Genomic DNA, 20673 nt, shown 5'->3' on the forward strand with positions numbered 1-20673 from the left:
AGTTGTGAGGGGCCGCCTCCGCCTCCAGCATCTGGCATCTGGAGGAGGAGGCTGAGGCTGAGGTGAGGGTGAGGGTGGGTGACCCGCACCTGTCCAGGCCCAGGTTGCCTGCTCCCAGCTTGGGCTGGGCAGTGGGGCAGGGCCATGATCCCGCCAGTGCTGTGGTTAGCCCTACACCTGGCCTGGCTGAGGACAGCGAACCTGGCAGGTCCAACCTGGGCCCTCCCAGCCTAGGATCTCCAAGGCCTCGTCTCAGTCACCATCAGCTGCTCTAGGGTGCAGTGGGGCCCAAGGAGGATTGGGCCTGATCTCTGCCCCCCAGAGCCCATGGACCCAGGACTGGGCCCACCAGGCGTGTCGCAGGCATAGGGTCAGTGGCTTCTCAACAGCTGCTGGCCCCGGCGCCCCTCACCACCCCACCTCCACTGGTCAGAACCACCACACTGCCAGAGACTGGGTTTCCCTGCAGTTCTGACCAGTGGGGATGGGGTGAGGTGGAAGGGACATTGCTTGGCCGGGCACGGTGGCTCACACCTGTAATCCCAGCACTTTGGGAGGCCAAGGCAGGTGGATCACTTGAGGTCAGGGGCTCAAGATCAGCCTGGCCAACATGGTAAAACCCCATCTCTACTAAAAATGCAAAAATTAGCCAGGCATGGTGGTTTGCACCTGTAATCCCAGCTACTCGGGAGGCTGAGGCAGGAGAATTGCTCAAACCCAGGAGGCGGAGGTTGCAATGAGCCAAGATTATGCCATTGCACTCTAGCCTGGGTGACAGAGCGAGACTGTCTCCAAAACAACAACAAAAAAGGCAGAGGAGTGGGGAGTCTGGATGGCTCCGCTGGTCCAGCCCACCCCTCAGGGGACAGACTGGTTGACTTGACGGGTTCACTGAGAGTGCTAGGACCGGCCCCAGGTGTAGTGCCCTCCCTGCGGTGTCCTGAGGTAAAGCCTGCCACTCTGAGCCTGCTTTCTCTTGCCAGGAGACAGGACCTTGTCCGCTGCAGCTGGGACATGGTGTGGATAAAACCTGTCAGACAGTGGGCGTCCTCCTGCCCTGAAGCCTCCCCTCTCCCTGGTAGCCTTCAGGCCCCCCAGATTCTGGTCTCTCGGCCTGCTGTCTCCTTTTTCCTTGGTACCTTGGCACCTGAACTCGCTTGGAGTGTCTAAGGAGCTGCCTGTGACACCATGGGGACCTCTATTGGTCCCAGCATCCCCTGCCCAGCCGTGGGGGGCATCGGTGTCAGCCCTGCCAAGGATCAGTCAGCCAATCAACAAACCGCAGGGATCACCCAGCTCATGGATGTGGGTGCCGGGAGGCAGGGAGGGCCACACAATGAAGAGATGTGTGTGGTCCTCCATGCTCAGAGATCCTCATGCCCCTCTCCCAGGGATGGGAGTTCCCCTCCCCATCAGGGGTAGCCCTAGGGCCCCCAGCCCCACTCTCACTAGGGCCAGCCTCTCTGTGAACCCCTGGACTCACATCACGTGTGCGGGGCCCAGCTTTGAGGTGGAAGACCAAACCTTGGCATTGCTTCTGTGGAAGCTCAGGAAATGCCCACGATATGGCCTGACCACCCCATTCACACGAGGATGGAGGGAGCACCCTGGTCACCTGGGGGTTGTGGTTAGAGTGCCCTCCAGCCGAGCCTGCAGCCCAGACCGAGCTAGACTGGAAGGGGTAGAAGGGCATTCAGGTAGGGACACAGCCTGGGCAAAGGGGCCCTGACCTTTGGCAGCTGCGGGAAGATGAGCCCACCTGAAAGGGAGGCTGCATTGAGTGCAGTCAGGACCTGGGCTGTAGGGCTCAGCCTCTAGACAGCAGGAGCACAGAAGGGCGTGGCGGGGTCTCCTGCCCGGCCATAATAAACAGGCCCAAGACTTGTTCACACAGGTCCCAGGAATATGCTGGGTTTGCCTTACGTATAATTTGTGATTCATACCTCTCAGTCTTCCAGAAAGATGCAGTCTACAGAAATTCAGAAACAATCAATTTGTAAGAATAGACATAGATAATTTTGAACAACCAAGATTAGTGGGAGATAGGCATTTACCCAATTCTAGGACATTAATGATTAGTAATCAGGCATCAGACATAGCTGTGGTCAGCCATGGTGGCTCACACCTGAAATACCAGCACTTTGGGAGGCCAAGACAGAAGGCTCCCTTGAGTTCAGGAGTTCTAGACCAGCCTGGGCAACAGAGTGAAACCCTGTGTCTACAAAAAATAAAAATAAAATAAAATAAACAAATTAGCCTGTGGTCCCAGCTACCTACCAGGGAGCCTGAGGTGGAAGGATCGCTTACGCCCGAGGTCGAGGCTGCAGTGAGCAGTGATTGCACCACTGCACTCCAGCCTGAGTGACAGAGTGAGGCCCCGTATTAAAAAAAAACCCCAAAAACTTAGCTATGAGTTTCCTGGCAGTCGAGGCATGAAGGGAATGAGAATGGACTATGGAACTTCACTGTGTGATCACAGCGGAGTATATCAGGCAGCCAGGAGGCCCTCACTTATATACCCAAGCCTCAGGCAGCAGGCATGTTCTGTGGCGGCCTCTGGAAACAGGCCATCAGGGCCGGGAGGACAGAGATGGCTGTGAGCTGGGCCTGCACCCTCAGGGCCCTGCCTGTTGAGTGGCTCCAGGGTGTCTTGCCCTCTCTGGGCCTCTGGGCCAAGGCTAACCCAACTCTCTGGGTCACAGGGGCTCAAGACCTCAGTGGCAGGTCATGAGGAAGGCTGCCCTGCCAGCCTCACCCTGGCTCCCCACCCACTGCCTGCTTCTTTTTTTTTTTTTTTTTTTTTGAGATGGAGTCTCGCTCTGTCACCCAGTCTGGAGTGCAGTGGCGCGATCTCGGCTCACTGCAAGCTCCGCCTCCTGGGTTCACGCCATTCTCCTGCCTCAGCCTCCTGAGTAGCTGGGACTACAGGCGCCCGCCACCACGCTGGGCTAGTTTTTTTTTTTTTGTATTTTTAGTAGAGACGGGGTTTCAGCATGTTAGCCAGGATAGTCTCGATCTCCTGACCTCGTGATCCGCCCGCCTCGGCCTCCCAAAGTGCTGGGATTACAGGCGTGAGCCACCGTACCCAGCCCTGCCTGCTTCTTAAGTGGCCCAGGAGGACAGGGAGTGAGCTTGTCTCTCCCCACTGCAGGGTCCTGAGGGCTGGGGACTGTGCTGACACTGGTCTCTCCCCTGCCTAGGCATATCCTGTTCCTAGTGCTTGGAACACCCTTCCCACCCTCACATGCCTGGCAAATTGTTCTTCACCTCTAGGTTCACATGTCGCCTCCTTCAGCTTTAAATTCCTACACGAGGCCAGGCGCAGTGGCTCACGCCTGTAATCCCAGCACTTTGGGAGGCTGAGACGAGCAGATCACGAGGTCAAGAGATCGAGACCATCCTGGCCAACATGGTGAAACCCCCTCTCTACTAAAAACACAAAAAGTTAGCTGAGCATGGTGTCATGTGCCTGTAATCCAGCTACTCAGGAGGCTGAGGCAGGAGAATCGCTTGAACCCGGGAGGTGGAGGTTGCAGTGAGCCAAGATTGAGCCACTGCACTTCAGCCTGAGAGACAGAGTGAGACTCCGTCTCAAAAATAAAATAAAATAAATTCCTACACGAAGGCTGGGGCTGGCTCCGAGTGAGCGGGCCTGGGGTATTTGTGGGATAATGTAACTTGGGAGTGTCTAAGTAGGAAAAAACTTTAGGTTCTTCAGTCCCATTGTGCATGGGGAAACAGAGGCCCTGTGCTGGTAAGTAATGGGGCAGAAGCCAGGGTGGCTGCCTCAGTTGGAGGGAAAGCGGCACCAAGATTCACAGGACAGCTCTGGGGTCCTGGTCGCAGTCCCTGCCGTGCCGCCTTCTCACTCAGTGACCCTGAGCAAGCTGCTTGCCACGAGATGTCGGCTCCGTGGCAGTGGATAGCTTCAGCCGTGGGAAGTCCTTGGCAATCCCCTGGCTCGCGGCTGGTGCTCAGCTGGGTTCGCTCTGACTAGCACTGCACCTTGGTCACCACCTCGACTGCCACACACCCTCCCCCAGTGGAGACAGAGCCAGGGGTCTCTCAGCTTCCCCAACCCTGGCTCCCCATTGTCCAGCCTCAGGGATTTGGAGACTGGGACAAACTAGCCATGCGGGGGAAAGGTGTTCCAGAGGAGGGAACACAGTGAGCCAACAAGAGGATGGGATGGGGCAGGGCCTGTTCCAGGAACAGGCTGGGGTCACTCTCCCTTCTCCAGAGTCCAAGGCACATGGGTGGTGGGAGAAGAGATAGGAGAGGCTGGCGAAAACCAGCCCGCAAGGCCCTAAATGCCTGACTAAGAAGCTTCAGTCTTTCACTGAAGTTTTGGAGCTAGGTTGGGTGCAGTCAGATAGCTTGGGGGCTGGGCCGGAGCATCTGGTGGAGAGTGAGACACCGGTGTGAGCTGCAGCCCTCGCTGTGGGTCCCAGCACCCAGGACTGCACCCAGCCCAGGACTGCAGCAAGCAGGCACAGGATGCGTGGCTGACTGAGGCCTGTACTCCGACTGGAGTCACCTAGGAGATTGGCTGAGATGACCTCCAGAAGGGCCTTGCCCCAGGCCGGACCCCAAGGGGAAGCTGGCTCTATGTCTTTGGACGAGTTAGGAACTCATTGGGGGTGGCTGCGGTTTTATTTGGGGATTCAGCTGTGCCCTGCACACCAGCTGCTGAGCAATGTCTCCAGGAAGCCACAGCTGCCCTCTGGGAGGCAGGGGGCCAGGTGCAGTAGAGGAGATGCCCCAGCGGCTCATGCAGGAGCTCACTCAGACGCCAGAACCCCAGCCAAGGAGGCACCCCAGACCCAGGCCCACCAGGGCCAGTGTCCCCACTCCACGACAGGGGCACTGCAGCCGGGGTGGACACCCAGCCTTGCTGCTCACTAGTCACGTGGTCTGGGCAAGTCTCTTCCTCTTCCCTGAGTGAGGTGAGGCAGGATGGGCTAGGATATGTGGTGGTAACAAACAACTCCAGTCTCTTTTTTTATAATTTCCTACAGACTTTTTTTTGTTCTTGTTGAGGCAGAGTATCGCTCAATTGCTAAGGCTGGAGCACAGTGGTGCTATCTCAGCTCACTGCAACCCCCACTCCCCAGGTTCAAGTTATTCTCTTGCCTCAGCCTCCCAAGTAGCTGGGATTACAGGCGTGCACCACCAAACCTGGCTAATTTTTGTACTTTTAGTAGAGATGGGGTTTCATCATATTGGCCAGGCTGGTCTCGAACTCCTGACCTCAAGTGATCCACCCGCCTCGGCCTCCCAAAGTGTTGGGATTACAGGCATGAGCCACCGCACCCGGCCAACCTGTAGATTTTTTGAGATAAAACAGCTTTATTGAGATCTAATTCACATATCACACAATTCATTTTAAAGCGTGCAGCTCTCTGTGGTGGATGGTATATTCGCAGAGTTGTGCAACCATCACCACAATCAATTTTAGAACATTTTCGAGGCCGGGCGCGGTGGCTCACGCCTGTAATCCTAGCACTTTGGGAGGCCAAGGCGGGCAGATCACCTGAAGTCAGGAGTTTGAGACCAGCCTGGGCAACATGGTGAAACCCCCCTCTACTAAAAATACAAAAATTAGCTGGGCATGGTGGAGGGCGCCTGTAATCCCAGCTACTCTGGAGGCTGAGGCAGGAGAATCGCTTGAACCCAGGAGGCAGAGGTTGCAGTGAGCCGAGATTGCACCACGGCACTCCAGCCTGGGCGACAGAGTGAGACTCTGTCTCAGAAAAAAAAAAAAAAAAAAAAGAACATTTTAATCACCCTCCAAACACACCATGTACCCATTAGTAACCACTCTCCATTTACCTGCTCTGCCCAGCCCCTGGCAACCACTCACACACTTTCCATCTCTATGGGTTTGCGTGTTCTGGACATTTCATATAAATGAAACCATATGACGTCGCCTTTTGTGACTGACTTCTTTCACTTAGCAAAACTTTTTAAAAATAGCTTTTATTGGCTGGGTGCAGTTGTTTGTGCCTGTAATCCCAGCACTTTGGGAGGCCGAGGCGGGCCGATCACGAGGTCAGGAGATCCAGAACATCCTGGCCAACATGATGAAACCCCGTCTCTACTAAAAGTACAAAAATTATCCGGGCGTGGTGGTGCATGCCTGTAATCCCAGCTACTCAGGAGGCTGAGGAAGGAGAATTGCTTGAACCAGGGAGTTGGAGGTTGCAGTGAGCCAAGAGCCCACCACTGCACTCCAGCCTAGAGACAGAGCGAGACTCCGTCTCAAAGAAAAAGAAAGCTGGCTGGGCGCGGTGGTTCACGCCTGTAATCCCAGCACTTTGGTAGGCCGAGGCGGGTGGATCACAAGGTCAGGAGATCAAGACCATCCTGGCTAACATGGTGAAACCCCGTCTCTACCAAAATACAAAAAATTATCCAGGCGTGGTGGCGGGTGCCTGTAGTCCCAGCTATTTGGGAGGCTGAGGCGGGAGAATAGTGTGAACCCGGGAGGCGGAGTTTGTAGTGAGCCCAGATTGCACCAGCCTGGGGACAGAGTGAGACTCCGTCTCAAAAAAAAAAGAAAGCTTTTTTTTTCAGAGCTGCCTGAGGTTCACGGCCAAATTAAGCAGAAGGTACAGAGAGTTCCCATGTACCTCTGCCCCCACACATGCACAGCCTCCCTCACAATCAACATCCCCCGCTGGAGCCGCACATTTGTTACAACTGAGGAACCTACAGGGCCACATCATCACCGGAAGTCCAGGGTTTCCATGAGGGTTCCCTCTTCCTGCCGGATGCTTCACGCGTTCGGGCGAATGTATAATGACTTGTCTCCACCATTAGGGTTTTATGCAGAATAGTTTTTGTTTTGTTTTGTTTTGTTTTTGAGACGGAGTCTCGCTCTGTCGCCCAGGCTGGAGTGCAGTGGCACAATCATGGCTCACTGCAACCTCCGCCTCCTGGGTTCAAGCGATCCTCCTGCCTCAGCCTCCTGAGTAGCTGGGACTACAGGGGTGCGCCCCCACATCTGGCTAATTTTTGTATTTTTAGCAGAGATGGGGTTTCGCCATGTTGGCCAGGCTGGTCTCAAACTCCTGAGCTCAAGTGATCCACCCGCCTCGGCCTCCCAAAGTGCTGGGATTACAGGCATAAGCCACCGCACCTGGCCTAGAGTTATTTCTCTATTTGACTACTAAAGGACATCTTGGTTGCTTCCAGGTTTTGGCAGTTATGAATAGACGTGCTTTGGTTGTGTGAACATAAATATTTCACTCCTTTGGGTGAATACCAAGGAGCACCGTTGCTAGACTACATGGTAAGAGTATGTTTAGTTTTTTGTTTGTTTGTTTGTTTGTTTATTTTGAGACGGAGTCTTGCTCTGTCACCCTGGCTGGAGGGCGGTGGTGTGATCTTGGCTCCCTGCAACCTCCGCCTCCCAGGTTCAAGCAATTCTCCTGCCTCAGCCTCATGAGTAGCTGGGATTACAGGTGCCGGCCACTAGACCTGGCTAATTTTTGTATTTTTAGTAGAGACACGGTTTCACCATGTTGGTCAGGCTGGTCTCAAACTCCTGAGCTCGTGATCTGCCTGCCTTGGCCTCCCAAAGTGCTGGGATTACAGGCGTGAGCCACCGTGCCCAGTGAGAGTATGTTTAGTTCTGTAAGAAACTGCCAAACTGTCTTCAAGAGTGGCTGGACCATTTTGCATTCCCACCAGCAGGGAATGAGAGTTCCTGTTGCTCCACTTCCTTGTCAGCATTTGGTGTTGTCAATGTTCTGAATTTTGGCCACTCTAATAGGTGTGTGGTGTTACAGTTGTTTTAATTTGCATTTCCCTGATGACATATAATGTGGAACGTCTTTTTGTTTGCTTGTATGCCCACCTGTGTATCTTTTCTTGAGAAATCTGTTAAGGTTTTTGGTCCATTTCTCAATCAAGTTATTTGTTTTCTTTTTTTCTTTTTTCAAGATGGAGTCTCACTTTATCTCACCCAGGCTGGAGTGCACTGGTATCATCTTGGCTCACTGCAGCCTCTGCCTCCCAGGTTCAAGCGATTTTCCTCTCAGCCTCCCAAATAGCTGAGACTACAGGCATGTGCTACCACGCACAGCTAATTTTGTATTTTTAGTAGAGAGAGTTTCACCATGTTGACCAGGATGGTCTGGATCTCCTGACCTTGTAATCCGCTTGCCTTGGCCTCCCAAAGTGCTGGGATTACACACATGAGCCACCGCACCCCGCCTATGTTGTTGTTTATTATTTTACTTTATTTCTTATAGAGATAGGGTCTTGCCTCATTGCCCAGGCCAGTCTCAAACTCCTGGCCTCAAGTGATCCTCCCCTCTCAGCCTCCCAAAGTGTTGAGATTACAGGCATGAGCCACCATGTCTGGGTGTGTTTTTATTTTCATTTGTCTCTAAACATTTTCTAATGTCCCTTGTTATTTCTTCTTTGATGTATGTTGTTTAATTTCCAGAGTTTTGTAAGTTTTCCAGTTTTCCTTCTGATAATGATTTCCTTCCTTCCTTCCTTCCTTCCATCCTTTTTTTAACAGTCTTGCTCTTTCGCCCAGGCTGGAATGCAGTGGTGTGATCTCAGCTCACTGCAACTTCTGCCTCCCAGGCTCAAGCAATTCTCCTGCTTCAGCCTCCCAAGTAGCTGGGACCACAGGTGCGTGCCACCATGCCTGGCTAATTTTTTTTTTTTTTTTTGAGATGGAGTCTCGCTCTGTTGCCCAGGCTGGAGTGGAGTGGCACAATCTCAGCTCACTGCAACTTCTGCCTCCCGGGTTCAAGTGATTCTCCTGCCTCAGACTCCCAAGTAGCTGGGATTACAGGTGCCCACCACCACACCCAGCTAATGTTTTGTGCTTTTAGTAGAGATGGGGTTTTACCATGTTGGCCAGGCTCGTCTCCAACTCCTGACCTCGTGATCTGCCCACCTCGGCCTCCCAAAGGGCTGGGATTACAGGCGTGAGCCTAATTTTTGTATTTTTATTAGAGATGGGGTTTGCCATGTTGGCCGGGCTCAAACTCCTAGCCCCAGATGATTGGGCACAGTGGCTCACACCTGTAATCCCAGCACTTTGGGAGGCCGAGGTGGGTGGATCTCCTGAGGTCAGGAGTTTGAGATCAGTCTAGCCAACATGGCAAAACCCCATCTCTACTAAAAATAGGAAAGTTAGCCAAGCTTGGTGGTGGGTGCCTGTAATCCCAGCTACTTGGTAGGCTGAGGCAGGAGAATAGCTTGAACACGGGGGAGGGCGGAGGTTGCAGTGAGCCGAGATTGCACCACTTCACTCCAGCCTGGGCAAAAGAGCAAGCCTCCGTCTCAAAAAAAAAAAAAAAGATAGTGAGTGAGTTCTAATGAGAGGTGACGGTTTCACAAGGGGCTCTTCCCCCTTTGCTCCTCACTCCTCTCTCTCTTGCCGCCATGTGAGAAGGTCCAAGCTTCCTTCCCCTTTGCCTTCCACTATGACTGTAAGTTTCCTGTGGCTTCCCAGCCAGGCGGAACTGTGAATCAATTACACTTCTTTCCTTTATAAATTACCCAGTCTCAGGTATTTCTTTATAGCAGTGAGAATGGACTAATACACCCGTCATCCATCTCTGGTCCCATCTGGCCTTCAGACAATTGGATGGTGCCCTCTCCCGACCCTGTATCGAAGGTAGATAGATCTTCCCCACTCAGTCCACTGACTCACTACCAACCTCCTCTAGTTTCTGGGGAAATACTATCACAGACAGACCCAGAAATGATACTTTATCAGCTATTTAGAAATCCCTTAATCCAGTCAAATTGACACCTAAAAATAGTCATCACAGTCCATAAATGTATAGAATTGTTATATTTTCTTGCGGTGTTAAACCTTTTGTTACTATATAATGTCCTATGTCTCTTGTGACTTTTTAAAAATTTTTTGTTTTGTTTTGTTTTTGAGATACAGTTTCCCGCTCTGTTGCCTACGCTGGAGTGCAGAGGTGTGACCACAGCTCACTGTAGCCTTGACCTCCCAGGCTCAAATGATCATCCACCTAGGCCCCTCAAGTAGGTGGGGCCTGTGCCACCAAGCCTGGCTAATTTTTTTTTTGAGATGGAGTCTCACCCTGTTGCCCAGGCTGGAGTGCAGTGTTGAGATCTCAGCTCACTGCAAACTCCGCCTCCCAGGTTCAAGCGATTCTCCTGCCGCAGCCTCTTGAGTAGCTGGGATTATAGGCGCCCATCACCACGCCCAGCTAATTTTTATATTTGTAATAGAGACGGGGTTTCACCATGTTAACCAGGCTGGTCTCAAATTCCTGGCCTCAAGTGATCCACCCGCCTTGGCCTCCCAAAGTTCTGGGATTACAGGCATGAGCCACTATGCCCAGCCCCACTGTCCTTTCTTCAAGTTCACTGATTCTTCTGCCTCCTCGAATCTACCTTCGAATCCTTTTAGCGAAATTTTCTTTTTTTGTTGTTTTTTTTCTTTTCTTTTTTGAGACAGAGTCTCGCTCTGTTGCCCAGGCTGGAGTGCAGTGGGTGATCTCGGCTCACTGCAAGCTCCACCTCCAGGGTTCATGCCATTCTCCTGTCTCAGCCTCCCAAGTAGCTGGGACTACAGGCGCCTGCCACCACGCCAGGCTAATTTTCTTTTTTTTTGTATTTTTAATAGAGACAGGGTTTCACTGTGTTAGCCAAGATGGTCTCAATTTCCTGACCTCGTGATCCGCCTGCCTCGGCCTCCCAAAGTGCTGGGATTACAGGCGTGAGCCACTGTGCCCAGCCTGTTTGTTTTTTTTTTTTCTTATGAGACAGGGTTCCCTCTGTCACCCAGGCTAGGGTGCAGTGACGTGATCATAGCTCACTGCTGCCTCAAATTCCTGGACTCCAGTGATTTTCCTACCTCAGCCTTCTGAGAAGCTGGGATTACAGCTGTGTACCACCATGTACAGCTAATTTGTAAATTTATTTATTTTTTTCTTTTTTGGGACAGGGTTTGGTGGGTTTGGCTCTATTGCCCAGGCTGGAGTGCAGTGGCGCAATCTCAGCTCACTGCAACCCCTGTTTTCTGGGCTCAAGCCACCATCTCACCTCAGTCTCTCAAGTAGCTCGAACTCCTGACCTCGTGATCTGCCTGCCTCGGCCTCCCAAAGTGCTGGGATTACAGGCATGAGCCACTTCGCCCGGCCGATTCTTGTCTTTCTCCATGGTTTTTTGTTTTTGTTTTTGTTTTTTTGTTTTTTGTTTTTTTGAGATGGAGTTTCACTCTTGTTGCCCAGGCTGGAGTGCAGTGGCATGATCTCAGCTCACCACAGCCTCCGCCTCCCGGGTTCAAGCCATTCTCCTGCCTCAGCCTCCCAAGTAGCTGGGATTACAGGCATGCGCCACCACATCTGGCTAATTTTGTATTTTTAGTAGAGATGGGGTTTCTCCACGTTGGCCAGGCTGGTCTCAAACTCCCGACCTCAGGTGATCCTGCAGATCCGCCCACCTCAGCCTCCCACAGTGCTGAGATTACAGGCGTGAGCCACCCGACGGGCTCCATGGAGTTTTTTGTTATTGTTTTTGTTTGTTTGCATTTGTGTTTATTGTTTTTGTAAGCTGTCTCTGTGCCAAAGATCAGCCTGAAATACCATCTTAATGAACCCTCTAGCTTTTCTGAGTCTGTGCCTTTCTCTGGCCATGCACTGCGCAGTCACTTTCTAATTTTCCTTGTATGTGCAGTTTTTTTTTGAGTTTCTAATCTTTTTTTTTTGTTGTTTTGGAGACAAGGTCTCGCTTTGTGTCCCAGGCTGGAGTGCAGTGGCGCAATCTCGGTTCACTGCAACCTCCACCTCCCAGGTTGCAGCAATTCTCCTGCCTCACCCTCTCTAGTAACTGGGATTACAGGCGCCTACCACCACTCCTGGCTAATTTTTGTATTTTTAGTAGAGACGGGGGTTTCACCATGTTAGCCAGGAGGCTGTTGAACTCCTGGTCTCAGGTGATCCATCTCCCTTGGCCTCCCAAAGTGCTGGTATTATAGGTGTGAGTCATAGTGCCTGGCCGAATGTTCTGATCTTTAATGTCTGGCTCCCAAAAAGGAAAAAAAAGTAGTGGGGGCAGGGCACTGGCCCTTTAAATCACCTGGTGGTGGCTTGAGTTGGAAGGGGAGGAGCCTACCCCAGTTGGGGAGGAGCACAACCTCCGTGGCTTCTTGCCTCTTCCTCTGCACCTCCAGGATCTGAAGCAGTGTTTCCGGAAAGTCTCTCAAACCCTGTTTGTCCTCTCCTCTCATACCACCACCACAATCATCAACACAGAAGAAAGCTTCTGTGGCCAAATTTGTGGAGTTTTCCCCATACACCAAGCAGAAGAGCCAGTTGAGCGTCCCCTAGTCCAGTTCTGAGGCTAACTGGAGATAGCATCAGATCCCATGGAGTGAGGGCGCACTCCCCAAGCCTCCCCCGTCACAGCCCCACACACCAGTCCCACGTTGGGGCCCCTGGAACTTGTGACCTACAAGCTTCAAGTTGGGGTTCCCACATCCCCCTCTTTGGGTTCTGTTAATTTACTGGGGCAGCTCACAGAACACGAAGACACACTTCCTTACATTTACTGGTTCATTGTAATGGATACAGATGGAGACATCTGTGGTGTTATATATATATTTTGGGTTTCATCCTTGGTTCCTGGCTCTTAGTTCCCATAGCCCTTGTTACAGTCTTTGGATAGAATGTTGGGTGTGGCCAGGCGCAGTGGCTCATGCCTGTAATTCCAGCACTTTGGGAAGCCTAGGCTGGTGGATTGCTTGACCTCAGGAGTTCGAGACAGCCTGGGCAACTTGGAAAAACACGGTCTCTACAAAAAATACAAAAACTGGCACGGCGTGGTGGTGCACTCCTCTAATCCCAGCTACTCGGGAGGCCGAGGCTGGAGGATCACTTGAGTCTGGGAGGTGGAGGCTTCAGTGAGCTGAGATCGAGCCACTACACTCCAGCCCGGGCGATACAGCCAGACCCTGTCTCAAAAATAAAAGAATGGGCCAGGCGTGGTGGCTCATGCCTGTAATCCCAGCACTTTGGGAGGCCGAGGCAGGCGGATCATTATCTAAGGTCAGGAGTTCAAGAGCAGCCTGGCCAACACGGTGAAACCCCATCTCTACTAAAAACACAAAATTAGTCAGGCATGGTGGCGTGTGCCTGTACTCCCAGCTACTGGGGAGGCTGAGGCAGAAGAATCACTTGAACCCAGGAGGCAGAGGTTGCAGTGAGCCGAGATCGGGCCATGCCATTGGACTCCAGCCTGGGCAGCAGAGTGAGACTCTGTCTCAAAAAAAAAAAAAAAAGACTGTTGAGTGTGTTAGGTCTCAGAGTCAAGCCTCATACATATTACAAAGGAGGATACAGATAAAGAGAGCTATAGCTATAGAACTATAAATACAGCTATAGGGAACACGTATGGCACTTCCATGCCCTACCCCAGGGGTTGAAGTTCTGTGAATCTTGTCCTTAGGGTTTTTTTAATTTTAATTTTTATTTTTTTTTGAGACGGAGTCTCACTCTGTCGCCCAGGCTGGAGTGCAATGGTGCGATCTTGGCTCACTGCAACCTCTGCCTCCCTGTTTCAAGCGATTCTCCTGCCTCAGCCTCCTGAGTAGCTGGCACTATAGGCGCACACCACTATGCCCAGCTAATTTTTTTTGTATTTTTAGTAGAGACGGGGTTTCACCATGTTGGCCAGGCTGGTCTCGAACTCCTGACCTGGTGATCCGCCCACCTCTGCCTCCCAAAGTGCTGGGATTACAGGCATGAGCCACCGCGCCTGGCCGTTTGTTTTTGAGACACGGTCTGGCTCTGTCACCCATAGTGGATAACAGTGGCCCGATCTCGGCTTACTGCAACCTCAGCCTCCCAGGCTCAAGCGATTCTCCTGCCTCAGCCACCTGAGTAGCTGGGATTATAGGTGCACACCACCACGCCCCTCTTATTTTTTTTTTTTTTTTTGAGACGGAGTCTCGCTCTGTCACCCAGGCTGGAGCGCAATGGCGCGATCTCGGCTCACTGCAACCTCCACCTCCTGGGTTCAAGAGATTCTCCGGCCTCAGCCTCCCGAGTAGCTGGGACTACAGGTGTGCACCACCATGCCCAGCTAATTTTTGTATTTTTAGTAGAGACGGGGTTTCACCATTTTGGCCAGGATGGTTTCGATCTCTTGACCTCGTGACGTGCCCACCTTGGCCTCCCAAAGTGCTGGGATTACAAGCGTGAGCCATCATGCCCCGCCTTATTTTTGTATTTTTAGTAGAGACAAGGTTTTGGTATGTTAGCCAGGCTCCTGGCCTCAAGTGATCTGCCCCACCTGGCCTCCCAAAGTGTTAGCATATGGAAGCTTCAGAGTTCAGCATTCCTTCCCCCAGGGTATAGGGCCTCTCTGGGGAGGGTCCAAAGCCTCACAATGAGAAAGGTGGGGAGGATTAAAGTCCTGCCTTGGGGCAGATGAAAGGAGGGAAGGAGAAGGTCAGAGGTCTGTCCTTGAGGCTGAACACTCCCAGCGTTGTATGAAAAGACTGGACTTTGCAGTGTCTCATGCTTGTAACCCTAGCACTGAGGGAGAATCCCTCAGCCCAGCAGTTCGAGACCAGCCTAGGCAAGATAGGGAGATCTCATCTCAAATTTAAAATAAATAAATAAATAAATAAATAAATAAATAAATAAATAAAAGGCCAGTCTCAGTAGCTCACGGCCTGTAATCCCAACGCTTTGAGACAACGAGTCAGGTGGATCACTTGAATCCCGGAATCCCGGAATTCAAGACCAGCCTGGGCAATAAAGTGAGACCCTGTAGCTACAAAAAATACAAACAGTAGCCAGGTGTGGTGGCATGTACCTGTAGTTTCAGCTACTCAGGAGGCTGAGGTGGGAGGATCAATCGCTTGAGCCTGGGAGGCAGAGATTGCAGTGACCCATTCTGCGACTGCACTCCAGCCTGTTGGACAGAGCCAGACTCTGTCTCAAAAAAATTTGAAAAGAGACTATAACAAGGTCTTTAGGAGTTATCAACCAGGATCTGTGCACAAATATATATCCTAACCCCACAGGCAGCAGTCAGTTATCACAGCACAGATGCCTGTTATCTGGAGGACAGGCTGCATTTGCCCACTCTGGCTCCTGCAAGCTGTGTGCAAGCCGGTCCAGGACCACCTGCATCTACTGCCTGCTTTGCAGGCTGGGCTGGGAAATGGGTAGCTGCCAAACTGCTAAGAGCTGAAATTGAGCAAAATTAACTGCACTTTACCATCCAAGCCTTCCCCTGGAAGTTACAAGCCTTCAGTAGACTCCAGAGTTTCAAAATAGTCACATCAGGCAGATTCTGCCAGTGTAATTGTTTAGGCAGGAAGACCATTTCCTGATGTTTCCTTCTCTGCCATCTTGATATTATCTTTTGCAGAGCAGTTTTTATTGATTGATTGATTGATTTGCGGGGGTTATTTTTAATGGAGGCCAGCTTAGCAATTATATTTTTTAGCATAATGTTTTCAAGATTTATCCATATTGCCCTTCATTACTTTTCATAGCTGAATAGTGTTCCAATTGTATCCATATACCACATTTTGTTTAATCATTCATCAGCTGATGGATCATAAGTTGTTTCTACTTTTTGGCTGTTATGAATGCAGCTATGAACATTTGTGTATATATTTTTGTGTGAATTGTGGGCATGTGTTTTCTTGTTTTATTTATTTATTTATTTATTTATTTATTTATTTATTTTTGAGACGGGGTCTCACTCTGCCGCCCAGGCTGGAGTACAGTGGCGTCATCTCAGCTCACTGCAACCTCCACCTCCCGGGTTCAAGTGATTCCCCCTCCTCAGCCTCCCGAGTAGCTGGGCGGGCGCGTGCCACCATGCCCGGCTAATGTTTTTTGTATTTTTTTTTTTGAGAGAGTTTCGCTTTTGCTCCTAGGTTACAGTGCAGTGGCGTGATCTCAGCTCGCTGCAACCTCTACCTTCTGGTTTCAAGTGATTCTCCTGCCTCAGCCTCCTGAGTAGCTGGGATTATAGGCACCCACCACCATGCCCAGATAATTTTTGTATTTTTTAGTAGAGACGGGGTTTCACCGCATTGGCCAGGCTGGTCTCGAACTCCTGACCTCGTGATCTGCCCGCCTCAGCCTCCCAAAGTGCTGGGATTACAGGCGTGAGCCACTGTGCTCGGCCTTGTTTTTTGTATTTTTAGTAGAGACGGGGCTTCACCATGTTAGCCAGGATGGTCTCGATCTCCTGACCTTGTGATCCACCCCTCGGTCTCCCAAAGTGCTGGGATTACAGGCGTGAGCCACTGTGCCTGGCCAGTTTGTTTTTGTCTGTTTGTTTTGAGACAAGGTCTCACTGTTACCGAGGCTGGAGTGCAGTGGTGTGATCATGGCAAGCTACAGCCTCAGCTTCCTTGATTCAGACAATCCTCCCACCTCAGCCTCCTGCTGGTCTGGAACTCCTGGGCTCAAGTGATCTCACCTCAACCTCCCAAAGTGCTAGGATTACAGGAGAGGAGTGAACCACTGTGCCCAGACTTTTTTTTTTTTTTTTTTTTTGAGACACAGTCTCACTCTGTCACCCAGGCTGTAGTGCGGGGACACGGTCACAGCTCACTGCAGCCCTGCCTCCCAGGCTCAAGCATTCCTCCCACCTCAGCCATCTGAGTAGCTGGACTACAGGCACAGCAACCATGCCCAGGGAATTTTTGTGTTTTTTGTAGAGATGGGGGTCTTGCCATGTCACCCAGGCTGGTCTTGAACTCCTGAGCTCAAGATAACCTCCCATCTTGGCCTCCCAAAGTGCTAGGATTACAGGTGTCAGCCACCACAGCTGGCTGGGCATATGTTTTATTATTTATTTATTTATTTATTTATTTATGAGACGGAGTCTCGCTCTGTTAGCCCAGGCTGGAGTGCAGTGGCCCGATCTTGGCTCACTGCAAGCTCCGCCTCCCGGGTTCACGCCATTCTCCTGCCTCAGCCTCCCCAGTAGCTGGGACTACAGGCGCCCGCCATCACGTCCGGCTAATTTTTTTGTATTTTTAGTAGAGACAGGGTTTCACCGTGTTAGCCAGGATGGTTTCGATCTCCTGACCTCATGATCCGCCTGCCTCGGACTCCCAAAGTGCTGGGATTACAGGCATGAGCCACTGCGCCCGGCTGACCCAATATTTCTTATCGTCTGTCTTTTTGCTAATAGCCATCCTAGTGGGTGTGAAGTGGTATCTCATTGTGGTTTTATTTGCATTTCTGTGATGACTAATAATGGTGAATATCTTTTGATGTGTTTATTAGCCATTTGTATATCTTCTTTGGAGAATGTCAATTTGGATCCTCTGCTCTTTTTTTTTTTTCAATTGACTTTATTTTTAGAGCAGTTTTAGGTTCACAGCAAAATTAAGTGGAGGGTACAGAGAGCTCCCGTCCACCCTCCTGTGCTCATTTTGTAATGGTGCAACAGCACAAAAGTCTGGTCATGGATGCTAGCTTCATGCCCATCACAGGTGGCAGTGAGTGCTCCTGCTCCAAACGTCCTCACTCCGGGACACACGCTGATGAAGTTTCTCTTCTATGGCATGGGGAAGAGAAAGAGGAAGTGGCAGGTTCCCCACTGACTATTTAAGCCTTCAGCCAGAGATAACAGGTCACCTCTACTCACATTTTAGTCGCAAAGCAAGTCATTCAGCAATTCCTAACTTTAAGGGGGTGTGAAATTCTCCCGTGATCCTGGAGGAGAGGGTCTGAATATATGTGGCCACCCCTAAAGACTCACGGGAGTTAAATAAGGTTCTTTTGTGCAGGACTTGTCACTGCATTTCCTGGGCCACCTGGCAGGTGGCAGGTGGAGTAGCGCCGACATACTTGACTGGGGAACCCTTCTCTTTTTTTTCTTTCTTTTTTTTTTTGAGATGGAGTATCGCTCTGTCACCTAGGCTGGAGTGCAGTGGCGCGATCTCGGCTCACTGCACCTCTGCCTTCTGGGTTCAAGCGATTCTCCTGCCTCGGCCTCCTGAGTAGCTGGGATTACAGGCGCGCGCCACCATGCCCGGCTAATTTTTTGTATTTTTAGTAGAGATGGGGTTTCACCGTGTTAGCCCAGATGGTCTTCATTGCCTGACCTCATGATCCGCTTGCCTCGGTTTCCCAAAGTGCTGGGATTACCGGCGTGAGCCACCGCGCCCAGCCTGGGGGACCCTTTTCTCCTAGAGCATCTCATGGGACATGTGTTCTCTGGAATCCCATTTGGGAACCACTGTCTTGGCTGGTGGCTACTTCCTAAAGGAGGGGTTGACAAACTTTCTGGAACGGCCCAGTAAGTAAATATTCTAGGTTTTTCAGACCATATGGACCAATTACTCGATTCTGCTGTTGTAGTGCAAGAGCCGCCGTATGTAATATGTAAATGAATGGGTGTGCCTGTGTTCCAATAACGTTTTATTTATAGACACTAAAATGTGAATTTCATACAATTTTTCTGTGTCACAAAATATTATTTTTCTTTTGATTTTTTTCCAACCATTTATAAATGTGAAAAACCATTCTTAGCTCATGGACTGTACAGAAACAAGTGGTGGGCGAGATTTGACCCACAAGCTGTGGGTTGCTCACCTTGTCCTAGAGGACAGAGTCCCAGCACCTTTGCCTGGCATTCAAGCCCCGTCACCTTCCCCAGTTCCATCATCTACCACGTCTCCGCACAGAGCTCAAGCATGGCCATGGCAGATGTTTTTCTAGGATCAAATCACACTCTTTCACTCTCGGGGCCTTTTCCCAGTCTGTTCTCCCTTCTGGAATGTCCTTCCAGCTCTTCTGTCCCCAGCTTTGCTTGGGAACAGTGGGGCCTCCCTTGATCTGGGAGGAATCTGGAGCTTCTGACGCTGGTGGCTCCCTCACTTCCTGGCGCTGCAGAGTCAGCCGCCCCCCGCCCCGCCCCCGTGCTGTGTTCTGGAGCTCTGTAGGTGTGTTTGCTTCCCCAGCCACACCATGAGCTTCTGGAGGGTGGGGACTTTGGCCTCCTGAGTTCTGATCCCCCAGGCCTGCTATCGTTGGAATGTTTCCCCAAAAAAGCACAAGTTGGAAACTGAATTTCCAGTGGAACAGTGTTGGGTCGTGGGGCCTGATGAGAGGTGGTTAGGCCGTGAGGGCTCTGCCCTCATGAAAAAAAATTAGCTGGGCCTGGTGGCGGGTGCCTGTAATCCCAGTTACTCTGGAGGCTGAGGCAGGAGAATGGCTTGAAACCGGGAGGCGGAGGTTGCAGTGAGCCAAGATCGCGCCACTGCACTCCAACCTGGGTAACAAGAGCGAAACTCCATCTCGAAAAAAATGAAAAAATTAAATAAAATAAATTTATTTCTGTTCTTTATTAATTGCCCATCTCAGGTATTCTGTTACAGCAACACACCATTGACTCAGACAGAAAATTGGTATGGAGAACTGGGGCTGCTGCTGTCACAAACACCTGAATATGTGGAAAGGCTTTGGAACTGGGTGATGGGTTAAGCCTGGAAGAATTCGGAGGAGCAGGCTAGAAACCGCCGACATTGCCATAAAGGGAGCATTCGGAGGATTCTGGTGAGGGCTCAGAAGAGAACAGCTACAGGGAGAGTGGAAAACTTCTTAGAGATTGCTTAAGTGATAATGACCAGAATGCTGGCGGGAATGTGGACAGTGGAGTCTTCTGACAGGTCTCAGATGAAAATGAGAAACAAGGTATTAGATATTAGAGGAGGGGTCATCCTTGTTATTACATAAAGTGGCAACAAACTTGGCCATATTTTGTCTATGCCTGATGATTTTATGAAAGGCAGAATTATTTTTCCTTTTTTTTTTTTTTTTTGAGATAGGGTCTCGCTCCATTGCCCAGGCTGGAGTGCAGTGGTGCGATCATGGCTCACTGCATTCTTGACCTCCCTGGTTCAGGTGATCCTCCCACCTCAGCCTCCCGAGTAGCTGGGACTACAGGTACACACCACCATGCCCAGCTAATTTTTGTATCGCTTTAGAGACTGGGTTCTCCCTATGTTGCCCAGGCTGGTCTCAAACGCCTGGGCTCAAACAATCCTCCCACCTAAGCCTCCCAAAGTGCTGGGATTATAAGCATGAGTCACCAGGCCCACCCAGAAGGCAGAATTGAAGAGCCTTGAACTGAAATCTCTAAGCAGCAAAGCACTGAAAGAGACACTTGGCTTCTTTTAACTGTGGACAGCAAAATTAGAGAAAAGAGAAAGGATTTTTTTTTTTTTTTTTTTTTGAGACAGAGTTTCGCTTTTGTTGCCCAGGCTGGAGTGCGATGGCGAGATCTCAGCTCACGGCAACCTCTGCCTCCCGGGTTCAAGCAATTCCCAGCCTCAGCCTCCCGAGTAGCTGGGATTACAGGCGCGTGCCACCACGCCCGGCTAATTTTGTATTTTTAGTAGAGATGGGGTTTCTCCACGTTGGTCAGGCTGGTCTTGAACTCCCGACCTCAGGTGATCCACCTGCCTCGGCCTCCCAAAGTGCTGGGATTACAGGCGTGAGCCACTGCGCCCAGCCCGATTTTTTTTTTTTTTGACAGGGTTTTGTTCTTGTCGCCCACATTGGAGTGCAGTGGCATGATCTTGGCACACTGCAACATCTGCCTCTTGGGTTCAAGCGATTCTCCTGCCTCAGCCTCCTGAGTAGCTGGGATTACAGGCATGTGCCACCACGTCAGGCT

General features: G+C 51.0%; 6 annotated features.

Annotated features, from left to right (window-relative positions):
- Positions 194-694: an enhancer, noted in NCBI's record as "H3K4me1 hESC enhancer chr14:103022683-103023183 (GRCh37/hg19 assembly coordinates)". NCBI's record gives its function as "activates a minimal SCP1, AML or CMV promoter by ChIP-STARR-seq in naive H9 embryonic stem cells {active_cell/tissue: H9 hESC(naive)}" and the evidence as "EXISTENCE:reporter gene assay evidence [ECO:0000049][PMID:30033119]".
- Positions 1747-1947: a silencer, noted in NCBI's record as "peak2254 fragment used in MPRA reporter construct". NCBI's record gives its function as "represses an SCP1 promoter by STARR-seq MPRAs in K562 erythroleukemia cells {active_cell/tissue: K562}" and the evidence as "EXISTENCE:reporter gene assay evidence [ECO:0000049][PMID:32103011]".
- Positions 4416-4685: an enhancer, noted in NCBI's record as "active region_9074". NCBI's record gives its function as "activates an Ori minimal core promoter by ATAC-STARR-seq in GM12878 lymphoblastoid cells {active_cell/tissue: GM12878}" and the evidence as "EXISTENCE:reporter gene assay evidence [ECO:0000049][PMID:35858748]".
- Positions 13834-14403: an enhancer, noted in NCBI's record as "NANOG-H3K27ac-H3K4me1 hESC enhancer chr14:103036323-103036892 (GRCh37/hg19 assembly coordinates)". NCBI's record gives its function as "activates a minimal SCP1, AML or CMV promoter by ChIP-STARR-seq in naive H9 embryonic stem cells {active_cell/tissue: H9 hESC(naive)}" and the evidence as "EXISTENCE:reporter gene assay evidence [ECO:0000049][PMID:30033119]".
- Positions 16900-17786: an enhancer, noted in NCBI's record as "H3K27ac-H3K4me1 hESC enhancer chr14:103039389-103040275 (GRCh37/hg19 assembly coordinates)". NCBI's record gives its function as "activates a minimal SCP1, AML or CMV promoter by ChIP-STARR-seq in primed H9 embryonic stem cells {active_cell/tissue: H9 hESC(primed)}" and the evidence as "EXISTENCE:reporter gene assay evidence [ECO:0000049][PMID:30033119]".
- Positions 17787-18674: an enhancer, noted in NCBI's record as "H3K27ac-H3K4me1 hESC enhancer chr14:103040276-103041163 (GRCh37/hg19 assembly coordinates)". NCBI's record gives its function as "activates a minimal SCP1, AML or CMV promoter by ChIP-STARR-seq in primed H9 embryonic stem cells {active_cell/tissue: H9 hESC(primed)}" and the evidence as "EXISTENCE:reporter gene assay evidence [ECO:0000049][PMID:30033119]".

Source organism: Homo sapiens, chromosome 14 (genome assembly GCF_000001405.40).
Source record: "Homo sapiens chromosome 14, GRCh38.p14 Primary Assembly".
In the NCBI taxonomy this organism is placed as follows: Eukaryota; Metazoa; Chordata; class Mammalia; order Primates; family Hominidae; genus Homo; species Homo sapiens.